At 41.5% G+C, this 15,783-nt stretch overlaps 1 protein-coding gene and 1 long non-coding RNA gene across 12 annotated transcripts in view; one reads left to right on the top strand and one right to left on the bottom strand.

Annotated features, from left to right (window-relative positions):
• ARHGAP15 (Rho GTPase activating protein 15) overlaps positions 1-15,783 on the bottom strand; it is a 638,934-nt gene that overhangs the window by 39,480 nt on the left and 583,671 nt on the right. The window lies entirely within an intron of this gene.
• Positions 1-15,783, top strand: part of ARHGAP15-AS1 (ARHGAP15 antisense RNA 1) — a 135,343-nt gene that overhangs the window by 47,226 nt on the left and 72,334 nt on the right. Inside the window, exon 1 of one of the 4 annotated variants that reach the window (XR_923394.3) lies at positions 9,161-10,058. The exons of the other annotated variants lie outside the window; for them this stretch is intronic. This is a non-coding gene — a long non-coding RNA (ARHGAP15 antisense RNA 1). Of the gene's footprint in view, positions 1-9,160; positions 10,059-15,783 lie in introns of those variants that run through there. 4 annotated transcript variants of the gene reach the window in all.

The raw sequence follows: 15,783 nt of genomic DNA, 5'->3' as shown, positions 1-15,783 counted from the left end.
GTTGAAAGGTGTGGTGTAAGTGCAATGTTTTATTGTGAGAGTGGTAGCTCACGCATTATCTGCTCCTAATGGAGGGCGGCAGTAATGGAGAGGGAGGCACTTATGCCTCTAGACCGGGGTCCCTGAAGGCGGGGTGGGGCTCGGTCGGGCACTGTGGTAACACTTACTGTACACAGGAACTGCTTCCTTCCAGTCTAGCAAGAAGGTATGAGAAGAGTCATGCTGCTGCTTGTTCCCCTAAACCTTACAAAGTCATCATTGTTTCATTCCCATAGAGGATGTGACTGAAAAATCATACTAGAAGAATACTCCAGACTTACAAATATTAATTTAGGTTTTAGTTTGGGGCTCAAATAAATACATCATTGGTACGGGGCATGTCAACAGCTTGGATGTGAATATACCCTTTGTGTGTGATATGGGCTGAGTTATCCCACCTAACCCCACCCCAATTTATATGATAAGGCACCAGCTACCGTTAGCTCAGAATGTGACTGCATTTGGAGACTGGGCCTTTAAAAAGGTCATTAAGTTAAAAATAAGGCCATTAGGGTGGATTTTAATCCAATTTGACTGATGTCCTTATAGAAAGAGGAAATTTAGACTCGCAGAGAGACACCAGGGAAAAAAAGCACAAAAGTAAAACCACGTGAAGGGTAAAACAGCAAGAAGGTGGCCATGTGCAAGCCAAGGGGAGAGACCTCAGAATAAAACAAACCTGCTGATATCTTGACCTTGGACTTCCAGCCTCCAGAAGTGTGAGAACATAAATGGCTGCTTTTTAAGCCGCCTGGTGTGTCGTATTGTGTTATGGCTGCCCTAGCAAACTAACACAGTCTGGGATTATCCAGACTTCAGATTCACATTGAACACTGCAGTATAATATAGAAAAAAGATACACATTTTTAAAAAATTCAGTATAGTCTGAATGCTTTTCCAGCTAACTCCATAACTTTAATTATAAAACAAACGTAACCTGTGTCAAATTATGAATATGTTAACATATTGAATGAGGACAAGAAAAATAAGCACCAGATTTAGGCTCCATAGGCATTTGAAGGTAGAGTAAAAAAAATCTGGTTTCCTTGACCACATTGTCATAATATGCATATATAACAGTTTATTGAATCCAGGCTGTGTAGACAACCAGAAGAACTCTGTCTCCATACCATTACAATGCATGCCCACAACAAAGACTCATGGAGAACAGCCCCGTTCATTCGATCTGTCTGAGCCTTACCAACATGAGAGCTGAAAACCTTACCTCTGTCTAAAGTATATCTATGTAGCCATCCATAAGTTATTAACTGGAGTCCCTGGGCTCTGCTGCTGAAAATATTAATATATTCAAATCTCATTCTAGCTACTGCAAAAAACAGTACATCAGATAAATGCATTAATATCTTTCTTAAACAAAAGAACCTGAGGTTATTTTTTTAAAAGTTTCTTTCTTTTTCCTTGGACTCCCACTGAAATATAGGTGATATATGGCCGAATAAGGTAAAGCGGCCATCAGGTACCAAAGTGCAGGATTGACTGTATCTATAAAACTCTGTTTATTATACTTGAAATACAACACTCTTTCGTGTGAACTGTAGGCTGAGTACTGTTCATCACATCCAATGGCAGAAATGTTTTCTTTTTACTTTCTTAGACATTTTACCCAGTGGAAATGACATGTCCTCTAATTGCAGTTGATGCTACCTCTACCCTATCAATATTCTCACCTCATCCTAAGGGCTGGCTCTTTTGCATACAAGTACAGCCTCAGTGGAGTTGGAAGGCAAAGCTTTGCTGAGAACCAGCAAGCCGAGTGGAAAGGCTGGAAGAGGTTAGGGCAGTGATGGAGGGGGTAACTGAGACTTAGCCCTTTAGATCACTGCTCTGTGTCTGTGGATCCCAAGCTGAGATTTATATATCTATATAGTGACCAGCCTTTGTGCTATCCAGGTTTGCCTTTTGCTATTGGCTGCAGTTAAGGCCCTTTATCAATGACAGCAAACAAAGTAGGTGGTCTTCTACTTCTTTCTTGCAGCAGGAAAAAAATAGTGACATAATTTTTCACAGCCTGAAATAATTGTGGAGGTACAGATACTTGGTTAGGTTCACTATGAATTATTAGTGGAAAAGTGGGTCTCAGAAGTACGTTACATGTGAAATATTTTTCGTCACTTGAACATGTGCCGTCCAGAGCTGGCCCTGTTCTAGCCGTCACAGGGAACAAACATTTCACATTCACAGATGCTCCCAATTTGGTGTGGTTTGGAGTGTAATTTAGATCAAACGTCTCCATGTAAATGAGTCAGGGTTTCTTAATTAGGTGCCTCTAAAGCAAAACCTTGGACCACATCAGTAGGTGTGGGTGTGGTACCCACAATACTGGAATCTTTCCTATAGACCAGGCTCTCAGTATCATTCAAATAAAGCTTTTTTTTTTCTTTTTTTTTTGGTTGTTTTTTTCAGGCAGAGTAATAAATCTGCAGATGGCATAGACAGAAAGACGCTACTTTAGAAGAGCTGTCTAAAAACACTGCCTCTTTGGCAAATGCCTTAAAGTAGGTCATTCTGCTGTGATTTAGCTTTTTCTTTAAAATTGATTGCCAGCTTTTTGTTCCCATTACAAGTAGGGTGCATTCCAGTCCACAGACTTGTTCTTAATTTTTCCAACTGGTATTTGTTTACTAGGATTTGCAGATCTTCATATGAAAATGGCCAATACCCTGTCACAGTGCTAATCATGCACTTGACCACAATGCGAAATGGATCCTGGTGATAATCTGGCAATGCTGAAATATTAAATGCCTTAAACACCCAGTCTTCCCACAGCAAAACTGCATTGATTTATATGGGTAGGTTTGTTGAAATAATTGTCCCATCTTTTATACATGCACAAAGAAGAGGTGACAGGATGTAAATGGAAAACTTTTACAAGCCATATAGCTGTTTGTATAGATATTCAGGTTATCTGCTTTTATACTTGTCATTGTTTGTGTTTTTTATAGGGGGAAAAATCATTTGGTCCCATTTCCTCATCGAGGCTTCGGGATTTACATGCTGAACCCCCACCGGCATTAATGAGTTACCTGCATAAATTCCCTGGCAATCGATGGGCACATAGACCTTGTTTTGTTATATTAATTATTCCTCACAGAACCTTGACACTGACATTAAATGAGTCCTTAAAAAATCTTGAGGAAGGTCTTAAGGTATCTTTTACTGTTCAAATATTAGCATTGCCATAACTATGTCTAAGGCATTATTCATTTTGTGGAACCACAGGGAAGGAGGGGTTGTGATAAGAAAAAAGGAAGGGCACAGGGAGTGAACTTTCTGGTCTTAACTCTTTATTGCCTAGGGGCCAGTTTTCTGAGAACAAGTTATAATCCTCAAATTGTGATAATGATGTGATAATAAATGTTAAAATCATAATGAATTAAAAGAGCAGAGTACGTTGTTTTCTCCAGATTGGTGTTGAATATGGTGTCTTCTCCACAGGCCAAATTTGTCTTGGCAAATTCTTGGTGTTTTCAGGTGAATTCCAAAATGTCAGTTAAAAAGACACAAAGAAGTGGGCTTCGGAGAGGCAGTGGAGATTATTGGCTAGGTATGTCACAAGATTGACTGCTGTGTCCTTAAGAAACAGGCTATGAAAAAAGGTTTTATGTGCAATTTTCTTTCATTCCCAATAAAACTTCTTTTACTTAGATGGAGTATAGAAGGTTCTGATTAAGCAAATGCTCTGGTCAAAAACACTTATCATATGTGGATTAACAATAATCGAACAACAAAATTAGTATTAAAATTACAATGGACACCACATTGTTATCCTTTGGTAATTCAGAAAGAACTTCTGAATCTTGAAGCTCTCCTGAGGAACTTGAGTTATCTCTGTGCTAGAGTGTGGTTATTAGATAAGTGGGTGGAGGTTATTAGACATTTCTGATTGAAATTTCTGTGAAATAGCGAATTGAAATGTTTTTTGATCCTTTTGGAGCAGAAGTTGTGTATTACTATTTGATGATGCTCTTCAGACTCTTATAATGCTGATCGTTGTGAATTTTATTTTCTACATTTTTTTCCTTTGCTGGCTAGTTATTCTTACTATGCTTGTCCGAAAGTTGTGTTTAACTCCATCCTTTTTTCAGGGGCTCTGAACATGCTTGGTAAATGCACGCACTTTCATGGTTTGAAATATTCCTCTAAAAACCTAATTCCCAAACCTACATTTCCTCCTTTAATATCACACCTCCACTTACCCACTTGCTAAAATGATTTGTTAAATACCTCCTATTGCTTGACTCTCTACCAGTTCAATGGAACACTACAAGGTCCAGGAAAAAATGATTCCTGCCCTGAAGGATTAAAGTTAACCCACATATGAGGAAGGATTAATTACAATTTTACACCAGGGGTAGTAGTACAGCTCTCTATGGTTGCAGTCAGAGCCTGACAGGGCGGTAAGAAACAACTTTGTCTCTTCGATGATTTAGAGTTTATAGTGGGCTTTCATTCACATGTAACTCTGAATTTTCTAAAAGTCCTTTGAGGTATTAGGTATTGTAACTGAAGAGGAAACTGACACTCAGAGAAGCTGTTATCCAAGGTGACACGGTTAGAGTCATAAACCTAGGATGCAAACTTGGGTTTTCTGCTTCTGAATCCAGTGACCTCTCCACTCCAGCTACTGGATTTAATGTAAGATCGAATTTCTCTGCTTGGGTTTCCAATTGTGGCAAACTTGAAGCAACAGTATGTACTCTTGGATTTTACTTTCTTTATGTCATTAGATCACACACATACACACACACACACACACACACATGAAGGTGGATAAATTAGGTATTATTTCTATGATAAGGTGATAAAACAGTGGCTGAGACGTGAAGTGACGTGCCTGAAGTCACTGTGGAACCTCATACTGAAGCTGGGGCTGGAGCCCAGTTCTTTAGATTCTCTTAACCTATCAGAGGCAGATGCACACAGCACTGTCCACCCACAAATACTGCTTTCTAATTAAATTGGCAACTGGATAATTTACAGTTTTTCTCTGTGTCTACTCTTGTTCACCTAGAATGTACTATCAACACAGTGATCCTTTAAAACGGAAGTCAGTTCATGTCATTCCTACGCAAAAGGCTGTAACTGACTCCCCCTTTTAACCTGCATGAGGGCAAGGATGGTTTTTGTTAAGTTGACCGATGTGTGATAAGCTCCTAGAACAGTGCCTGGCATACAGTAGGTGCTCAGTAAGAGTACACAGATGACCTGGTTTTATCAGTGGCACCACCACTCTCTTTAATCTATAGATTGCACCCTGTGGCACTGTCTGGGACTCTTTCCAGTCCTTTGTGGAGATTCATATCAAAAATACCAGCGAATACTCCTGACCTACTTCAAAGCTGCCCTAGGAATTCCTCTCTTCCCAATGAGCTCCACAGCCAACACCAAAACAATTGCTCCGTAGTCACGTTAAGAGAACTGTTGGCTTTCCGGCTTTGCTCCAGCATCCTCCTTCAGCCCCAGCCTCCTCCTTCAGCCCCTCCATCCCTAAGTCCATTTCACATAGGACCAATGGATAGGTTGTTTGAGATGGCAGTGTGTCACTTAACGAGGGGGATACATTCTGATAAATGCATCATCAGGCAATTTCACAGTTATGTGAACATTATAGGGTGTACTTACACAAGCCTAGATGGTATAGCCTACTACATACCTAGGCTAGTGCTCCTAGGCTATAAACCTGCACAGCATGTTACTGTACTAAATACTGCAGGCAGTTTTAACACAGTGGTATTTGTGTATTGAAATATAGAAAAGATACAGCAAAAATTCAGTGTCATAATCTCATGGGACCACCATCATATGTAAGGTCCATTATTGATGGATGTGTCATTATGTGGTGTGTGACTGTACTTAAATACAAAAGCAGAAATTTTTCAACTGCTCAGTAACCTGCCTTGGTTTCCTATAGCCTGAGATGTCAGATTCCAAGAAAAGTTTCTGCCAGCCCCACCCATAACCTGGCCCCACCCTGCACTCAGGTCTCTCCTTCTCCTTTGCCTCTGGCCACAGGACAGGCTGCTCACACCTATATCCTGGTTCCCTCTTGGTTTTTCTCCAGCCACTCCATGGAACATCCAAATCTCACCAGCTCCACCTTTCACTGGAGACTTCTCAACTCTTTCAGCCCATTTCTCATTTGAATTACAGGCTGCACATACTGTTTAACAGTTAATTAGTCTCTGTTCTGTTTTTTCTTAAGTGTTTTGTTCCCTTCCTGTTACATTAGTAGCACTGCAAAGGCAAAACCTTAGACTTCCGATTGCACACTTTTATCTTCTCCACTTTCCTGCGTATAGTATGGAACACAGAGCAGGCACTCCATAGGCATGCTTCATTCATTGGTGCTTATGTGCTTCTGCTTGTATATGTACTTTGCCCTGCCAGCTTCAGGTAGCTGAACACTTCAAATGATAAATTTTGAAGGATATCCTAAATTTATATATTGTTGGCAAGTAACGGCATTTTTTACAGCTATACTGATGAGGTATATATTAGGATAAATGTATATTTAAACTCCAGCCTTATCTAGTTTACAACATGTTTGCAGCATGTCTAAACGTAGAAAACCATACTGCACCAACCAGTGATTAATTGGGTCTTGCCGTGTGTGTGTGTGTGAGTGTGTGTGTGTGTGTGTTTCTTTTCAAGTATCTAAAGTGAATTCTGTCATTAAGAAGTCACAAAATACATAGAAATTAGTATAAAAAGCATTGAGGAAATAACTAAAGAATACAAATTAATCTAACCAACAATTAAGTTTTTAATGCTATACTGAGGCTTTATTATGGAAGTCTAGGTAGCACAGCAGTAAACCATGTTTGCATAACATAAGTTTAAGCCTGTAATCCCAGCACTTTGGGAGGCCGAGGCCGAGGCCGGTGGATTGCCTGAGTTCAGGAGTTCGAGAACAGCCTGCGCAATACAGTGAAACCCTGTCTCTACTAAAATACAAAAAATTAGCTGGGCGCAGTGGTGGGCGCCTGTAGTTCCAGCTACTCAGGAGGCTGAGGCAGGAGAATTGCTTGAACCCGGGAGGCGGAGCTTGCAGTGAGCCAAGATCCCGCCACTGCACTCCAGCCTAGGCGACAGAGCAAGACTCCGTTTCCAAAAAAAAAAAAAGTTTAAAAAGGTCCACGTTTTTCAGCAACTTTGATTTTATTTTGCAAACATTTGAAGGAAAATTATTACTCCCATCCTTGTTCATAGGTTAAGCTTTGACAATTTGCATTCTGCCATCTTGTCTTCTCTTGATTCATCTTGAGAGTCAGACACTTTTGGCTCTTGCAGGTCCTGACAGACCACTGCTGATATCCCCCTGCCACAGCACTACAGCTGGACACTTTGCAGAGTAGGCACCTCATTTATAAAGCACATTCAGAGACCATGTTCTTTACCTTTTCTTCTCCCCATGGAAAAAGCCATTCTGAGAGTGGGTTTTGGATTGGATTATTATTTTGGACACTCCATGTTTCTGCTTCATTTAGTTCCTAGGACAAATGATGCAAACCTGATAATTCTGGGTGTCAAACCCCATGTTAAAGTCCTCTTTCTTTTAGCCCAGACTTTGATTTCTTGGCCACAGAGAACCTCTTTCCTCCTCCTGTTTCTTGTCTTTAGATCCTGTTCTGAAAGTGTGGTCTGCAGACCAGCAGCAGCAGTGGCACCTGGGAGCTTGTTCTCTGTACAGAATCTCAGGCCTCATCCCAGACTTCTTGAATCAGAATCTGCATTTTTTTTTTTTTTTTTTTGAGACGGAGTCTTGCTCTGTCGCCCAGGCTGGAGCGCAGTGGCTCTCGGCTCACTGCAAGCTCCACCTCCCAGGTTCACACCATTCTGCCTCAGCCTCCCGAGTAGCTGGGACTACAGGCGCCCGCCACCACGCCTGGCTAATTTTTTGTATGTTTAGTAGAGATGGGGTTTCACCGTGTTAGCCAGGATGGTCTTGATCTCCTGACCTTGTGATCCGCCCGCCTCGGCCTCCAAAAGTGCTGGGATTACAGGCGTGAGCCACCGTGCCCGACCCAGAATCTGCATTTTTTAACAAGATTGCTAGGTAATTTGGTTTGTGAGCACACTGAAGTTTGGGAAGTCGTGTGCCTCTTTTAGGGAAGCTAGTGCAGCAGAAGTGCTGGCCACAGGACCGGCAGGCAGAGGAGACTTCACAGTTCCTATTGTCCACCACTTGACCCCCTCGATGCCCTCATTCATTCGAATCCCCCTTCGCCCTAGTACTTAAAAGTGTTTACTGTGCTTGGTGAATGAGTCACACGGCACAGGTGCATCTGCGTCGATAGAGGGCAGTCTTTTTTTCTAGCAATTAGTTGACGCCATTAGGCTCTTCTGATGGAGTCTCGGTTGCGAGAGGTGAGGCCTTTCGCTGGGCTGCAGGATAGCGGCCCTTACCACTTGTGGTCATTAAAGTTCCCGTGGTGCTTTTTGTGAGTGAAGGGATTGTTAACCTCGGCGTCCTGGCTGACTTCCAATCTGTGTAATTACATTCAGCCTACCTAAGTCTGCTCTGTAGTTTCAATTAGGTAAAGTATTGTTCACTTCTTATACTAAACTGCTGTGTTGTGTGGCTACAGACTGCTAATTAGCTAGTGTTTTTCAGGTAGCTGCATTCATGACGAACAAAACGCTCTCTCTGGTCATCATCTTCCCCGCCCCCACTCTCCCCAGTATCCACAATCCTACATACAACTAACTGCAGGCCAATTTTCTATATATTACCATTTCTTGGAAAAAAAAGTGCTTTGGGATCAGAAATTTCTCGTACATGACAATGAACATTTCTTTTGATTCTCTATGTAGCCACCTGCTTCTAACCTTATCTAACTTATTATAGGGTGTATGTGTGGGAAACCCATGCAGAGAATAAAAAGAATGTGACAACAGGTGGAAGAAATAGGCCTTCCTCTGCCAAGATGAAGGGTACATTTCTGTGATTGCCAGGGAAGTATGAATTGCTTTAAGAGCTTGCCACTCCAGGAATTGGTTATTTTAAATGTGATATGAAAGGAAGATGAGGTCAGAGAGGGCAGGGCGTACATTTATTTCTTTTTTCCCACTAGTTAGAAAAATATAGTAGGACATGTAAACTAGCAGTAAAATGCCTCAATATCTCTGTGGGGAATATCTGGCCCTAAATAGGAAATGTGGCACCAGGAGAGAGAATGGAATTCCCTTCTGTTGACTTAAAAGTTAGCACCAGGGGAAGTACGTGGCTCTGGAATGGCAGTTGGAAATGAAAGAAAAGTGGAAAAGATGGGTGAGCAGGAAGCCAAGAGGGCAGAGTTGCAAGGGCAGAGTTGTGCTGTTATCAAAGAAGAGATGTGTTTGAGAATGGAATCTTTCTGAGATGTGAAATGATTGCTATGAAGTGTCCAGATGGAAAAAAATTCTGATTTAGATAACATATCACTTTACATGCCTTTTCACTATGTAAGCAAATTTAATCTGTTTTAATGCCCAACAACATATACACAGATTAATTAGACAAAAGTTCATTTGGAGTGATTTCTTTATCTTTTCGTATCACAAACTCTATGGGAGGTAAATGAAAATCAATAAATGAAGTAAAGAAATGAATGTACAAAATTGATATAGGGAAGACTATGAAGAGGCGTCTATTGACCATCAGTTCATGGAGAGCAGGAAAAGAGGTGTTTTCAGTGCCAGAGAACCAACCTATGTCTTGCCCACCCCTTACAGCGGTTCTGTCCCAACGTGTTCTACTTGTTGTCTCTTTGAAATGAGAAAGAAGAGAAGGGGTTTACTTAGTCCAATGGAAGGACTGACTTAATGCCTGTTAAAAATAGGCTGGTTTACAAATTCCTGTTAGAAGTGGAAGGATATAGAGCCAGAAAATGGGGATTAAGAATGAGATTGAGGGATGTGAACACTCCCAGACATGGGAAGGGAAGCTTCCAGATCCTAGAGCTTTATTGCTTTCCTGGTAAAAGTGTCTTCATTTCCAGCTCAGCATCTACCACACAGTAAGTACTCAACCTGTATTTGTTTCATGAATAAATGTGTGGACAGATGATGTAGGCAACAATGTTTTGAATGTGAAGTGAGTTTTCAGAGTACAGACAAGAGAAAGAATCTGCAGAGGATGATGAATATTGGGAGGAAAGGTAGAGAACAGTGGAAAAATGTATGAGGAAACAGTTTAGTTAAAAAGAATATGGGTAGGATATAGAAGAGGAGAAGAAATGACCAGAAATAAGATACAGGAACCTCTATACCAAGGGCAATAATGTAGTGTAAAACTTGTGAGTTTGGCATGTATTTTTAAACTTTCTTTTTACATATTAATGAATGGAGCTGGGGAAAAATTATAGACCAAAAAATGTCATTGAGGCAGAAACATAATAGGCTCAAAAATGCTAACCTTAAATTTGAGCTCTACTGTTTTGTAGCTACTTCCAAAAAAGATTTTTCCCAATGGCCTGACCAAGACAGCCCCTAACCTCCTTTCTTTGCCCCCTAGGGACTCTCATTCAAGTGAAGCCTAGGGTTCTAGTTATGTACTGCTTCAAAGTCAAGTGTGGGTTGAGTCTGCTACTAGCTACAGACAAAATATTATTTATGGCTGAGATTTCCTCCTGTCCATTGCTCAACTTCAGCCTTTTCTCAGCCTAGACATTACAGTCTTGAGAACTGAAATCTCATATATAATATGTACTTTTTTCTTGCATGAGAAAAAAAAACCCCAACGACATGAAAATTTGCAGATACCCTGTGTTAAGTATTCCTGGATGTCACCCTGCAGCTCTAATTTCTGCTTTCTCCTCTGCATTCTGGGTACTGCTGCCGGACTTGTCAGCACCTTGTCACGGCTTCCTGTTGCGTGGGCTACCATCGGACTCTGTGTTCTTAACAATTATCCATAAAAAACCCCAGAAGATCCTTCACAATTAAAAAATATATATTAACAGGTAAAAAAAAAAAAAAGCCACTTTAAGAAATGCAGTTTCCTGGAGCGGGTGCTATGTGTAAAGGCTGCACAGCCTTGACTAACTGCAGCATGGTCTCGTCTTTCCCAGCCCCGTGATGCTCTTTTGTTCATGGTGTGACAAGGATGTAGGGAGCCAATACGATTTAACTAAATAATACACAAATGTCAAGAACACTTTCATGTCTTGTGTACAGACCAGAATAAATGACTCGGATGGAATGTTTTGTTTTTCTTTTCAGGGAACAACTCCACAGTTTACAAGGAGCTTTGCTGACAAGAAGTGGCTAAGAAATATTATTTAAAATAACCTATTTTAATGTAGGAGTAAATGGCTGAGGTTTTCATTTGGGTTCAAAAGACGGAGGTCTGGAAAGGAGCTTGACAGGCAGAAAGCAGTGAGGACTTAGGTTTGTCCTGGAATTCCTATGGGCAGTGGGGAGAAAAATAAGTCCAGTAAGAAATGAAAATGAGGAAACTAGTTTCTCAGAATTAAAGGTGAACTGAAAGGAATTGGCAGCTACCGGGACATGCCAGCCAGAGAGGCCACGGTATCTGATACACGTGACAGACCGAGAGACAACAGCAATGCTCCCCAAACAACTTGCCTGAAGGGCTTGCCAGGAAGCCAGATGCTGCTTCTGGAAGAATATCTTCCGTGGTTGGGCATCTGGGTTCAGTGCTTTCCATTTAAAGAGGAGAAAGAAGGTGATAAAAGGCAGCACCATTACTGCCTTCTAAAAAAACGTGCTCTAAGTGTATATATGCAGGCATGCATGCACACACACAAGCATTAATAAATGTTGACATGGAAATTGTTTTTAAAAAGGACCCCTAAAAATGAAACTTTTCTTTTTAGATGGAAAGAAATGTAGTAGAGGCAGGGAAGTGGGGAGGGTGAGAAGACAGACACTAAGAAAACCCCTTCTATAAATATAAGGGCTCACTAATTAATTAGGATTAATTAGGTAATTTTATTTAAAGGGCTGGGATTATATCTGGTGTTCAATTAGAAAAAAGGAGTCTGAGGGATTGGCCTGTGCCTCTATCACAGTTGGCTCAGCTTTCTCACTCTTTGTTTTACCATTCCTTCTTCCCTGGAAACACAATCGAGTATTGGTATTGGCAAGAAAGCAGAGTGTGGTTTAGTGGACTGGAAATCAGGTGACTTGAGGTCTGCTTGATTTTTTTCTCCCTTCCACTTTGAAGTTTGCTCCATAAAACAAGGGAACCAAATTTCTTTATACACTTAAAAGCAGAGGGCAAGCTTTTTAAGTCAAGGTGATTTTTTTTTTCTTCAGCTGATGCTAAATAATTCAAGGTAGTATGGCAATATTGGATCTCAAATGATAGACAAGGAAGTTGGGGTTGACCTGATAGGAGCTAGAAGTGGTAGAAGTTATTTAGTAGTGAGAATTATGACAGAAGATGTAGAAATAAATTTTTGTATTTCAAGATCTGCTACTAATCCCAGATAAGAAACCAGAAGAACTGGCAATTTTACTATGTACTGCAGTAATTGATCTAATAGGCTCCACCCATCACTGATGGGTGGTCACAGATTCCCTGACTGAGTCTCCCTTGGTGTGGCCAGCCTCTTTTAGAACTCATTCATTGTAGTGCTTGCACCCTTTTAACATGCAGTCTTAATATTAAGAGTATCTCTTTTTTCCAGCCTTTAAGTTCAGGAGTAACTATGCAGGATGTGCCGGTTTGTTACATAGTTAAACGTGTGCCATGGTGGTTTGCTGCACAGATCTTCCTATCACCTATGTATTAAGCCCAACAGCCATTAGCTATTCTTCCTGATGCTCTCCTTCCTCCCATCCACCATCTCACACCCCCACAACCTTCCAACAGGCCCCAATGTGTGTTGAAAGGATTCCCTATTTAATAAATAGTGCTAGCTAGCCATATGCAGAAAATTGAAACTGGACCCCTTCTTTATACCATATTTAAAAATAAACTCAAGATGGATTAAAGACTTAAATGTAAAACCCCACACTATAAAAACCATAGAAGAAAATTTAGGCAATACCATTCAGAACATAGGCACGGGTAAAGATTTCATGATGAAGATGCCAAAAGCAATGGCAACAAAAGCAAAAATTGATAAATTGGATCTGATTGAACTAAAGAACTTCTGCACAGCAAAAGAATCTATCATCAGAGTGAACAGAAAACCTACAGAATGGGAGAAAGTTTTTGCAATCTCTGCATCTGACAAAGGTCTAATATACAGCATCTATAAGGTACTTAAACGAATTTACAAGAAAAACAAACAGCCCCATTAAAAGTATTATTATTTTTATAATCAGAAGAGCTCTGCTTGTTTGTCAGGATGAAAAGAAAAATATCAGGTGAGGGGAGATAAACTTGAGAGGAAGAACTTGCTTACCAATACCCTTAAGATGGAATATTTCCTAGTACTAGTCTGAAAATACCAAGTTTCTAAGATTCCAGGTGATATGGTTTGGCTGTGTTCCTACCGAAATCTCAACTTTAGTTGTATCTCCCAGAATTCCCATGTCTTGTGGGAGGAACCCAGTGGGAGGTAATTGAATCACAGGGGCTGGTCTTTCCCATGCTATTCTCGTGATAGCGAATAAGTCTCACAAGATCTGATGGGTTTATCAGGGGTTTCTGTGTTTGCATCTTCCTCATTTTCTCTTGCCTCCACAATGTAAGAAGTACCTTTTACCTCCTGCCATGATTCTGAGGCCTCCCCAGCCATGTGGAACTGTAAGTCCAATTAAACCTCTTTTTTTTTTCCCAGTCTTGAGTATGTCTTTATCAGCAGCTTGAAAATGGACTGATACAGTAAATTGGTACTAATAGAGTGGGGCGTTGCTGAAAAGATATCCAAAAATGTGGATGTGACTTTGGAACTGGGTAACAGGCAGAGGTTGGAGCAGTTTGGAGGGCTCAGAAGAAGACAGGAAAATGTGGGAAAGTTTGGAACCTCCTAAAGACTTGTTGAATGGCTTCGAGAAAAATGCTGATAGTGATATGAACAATAAGATACAGGCTGAGGTGGTCTCAGATGGAGATGAGGAACTTGGGAACTGGAGCAAAGGTGACTCTTGTTATGTTTTGGCAAAGAGACTGGTGGCATTCTGCCCCTGCCCTAGAGATCTGTGAAATTTTAAAACTTGAGAGAGATGATTTAGGGTATCTGGTGGAAGAAATTCTTAAGCAGCAAAGCATTCAAAAGGTGACTTAGGTGCTGTAAAAGCATTCTGTTTTAGAAGGGAAACAGAGCATAAAAGTTCAGAAAATTTGCAGCCTGATAATGAGTAGAAAAGAAAAACCCATTTTCTGGGGAGAAATTCAAGCCAGCTGCAGAAATTTGCATAAGTAGCAAGGAGTTTAATGTTAATCCCCAAGACCATGGGAAAAATGTCTCCAGGCCATGTCAGAGACCTTCATGGCAGCCCCTCCCATCACAGGCCCAGAGGCCCAGGAGGAAACAGTGGTTTCATGGGCTGGGCCCAGGGTCCCTGTGCTGTGTGCAGCCTAGGGATGTGGTACCCTGCATCCCAGCCACTCCAGCCATGGCTGAAAGGGGCCAACGTAGAGTTTGGGCTGTGGCTTCAGAGGGTGGAAGCCCCAAGCCTTGGCAGCTATGTGGTGTTGAGCCTGTGGATGCACAGAAGTCATGAATTGAGGTTTGGGAACCTCTGCCTAGATTTAAGATGTATAGAAACACCTGGATGCCTAGGCAAAAGTTTGCTGCAGGGGCAGGGTCCTCATGGAGAACTTCTGCTAGGGCATTGCGGAAGGGAAATGTGGGGTCAGAGTCCCCACACAGAGTCCCTTCTGGGGCACTGCCTAGTAGAGCTATGAGAAAAGAGGGCCACCATCCTCCAGACCCCAGAATGGTAGATCCACCAACAGCTTACACTGTCTGTCTAGAAAAGCTGCAGACACTCGATGCCAGCCTATGAAAGCAGCCAGGATGGAGGCTGTACCCTGCAAAGCCACAGGGGCAGAGCTGCCTAAGACCATGGGAACCCACCTCTTGTATCAGCATGACCTGAATGTGAGACCTGGAGTCAAAGGAGATCATTTTGGAGCTTTAAAATTTGACTGCCCCACTGGATTTTGGACTTGCATGGGGGCCTGTAACCCCTTTGTTTTGGCTGATTTCTCCCACTTGGAATGGCTCTATTTACTCAATACCTGTACCCTCTTTGTATCTAGGAAGTAATTAGCTTGCTTTTGATTTTATAGGCTCATAGGCAGAAGTGACGTGCCTTGTCTCAGATGAGAATTTGGACTGTGGACTTTTGGGTTAATGCTGGAATGAGTTAAGACTTTGGGGGACTGTTGGGAAGGCATGATTGGTTTTGATATATGAGGACATGAGATTTGGAGGGTCAGGGATGGAATGATATGTTTGGCTGTGTTCTTACCCAAAACTCAACTTTAATTGTATCTCTGAGAATTTCCACGTGCTATGGGAGGGACCCAGCGGGAGGTAATTGGATCATGGGGGCTGGTCATTCCCGTGCTATTCTTGTGATAGTGAATAAGTCTCACAAGATCTGACAGGTTTGTCAGGGGTTTCCATTTTTGCTTCTTCTTTGTTTTCTCTTGCTGCCACCATATAAGAAGTGTCTTTTGCCTCCCGCCATGATTCTGAGGTCTCTCCACCTCAGCCACGTGGAACTGTAAGTCCAATTAAACTTCTTTTTCTTCCCAGCCTTGGGTATGTCTTTATCAGAAGCATGAAAATGGACTAATACACTAGGCTTACGTAG

Source organism: Homo sapiens, chromosome 2 (genome assembly GCF_000001405.40).
Source record: "Homo sapiens chromosome 2, GRCh38.p14 Primary Assembly".
Taxonomy (NCBI): Eukaryota; Metazoa; Chordata; class Mammalia; order Primates; family Hominidae; genus Homo; species Homo sapiens.
Note: the sequence above shows the minus strand (reverse complement) of the source record. Positions and strands in the feature narration are given on the sequence as shown.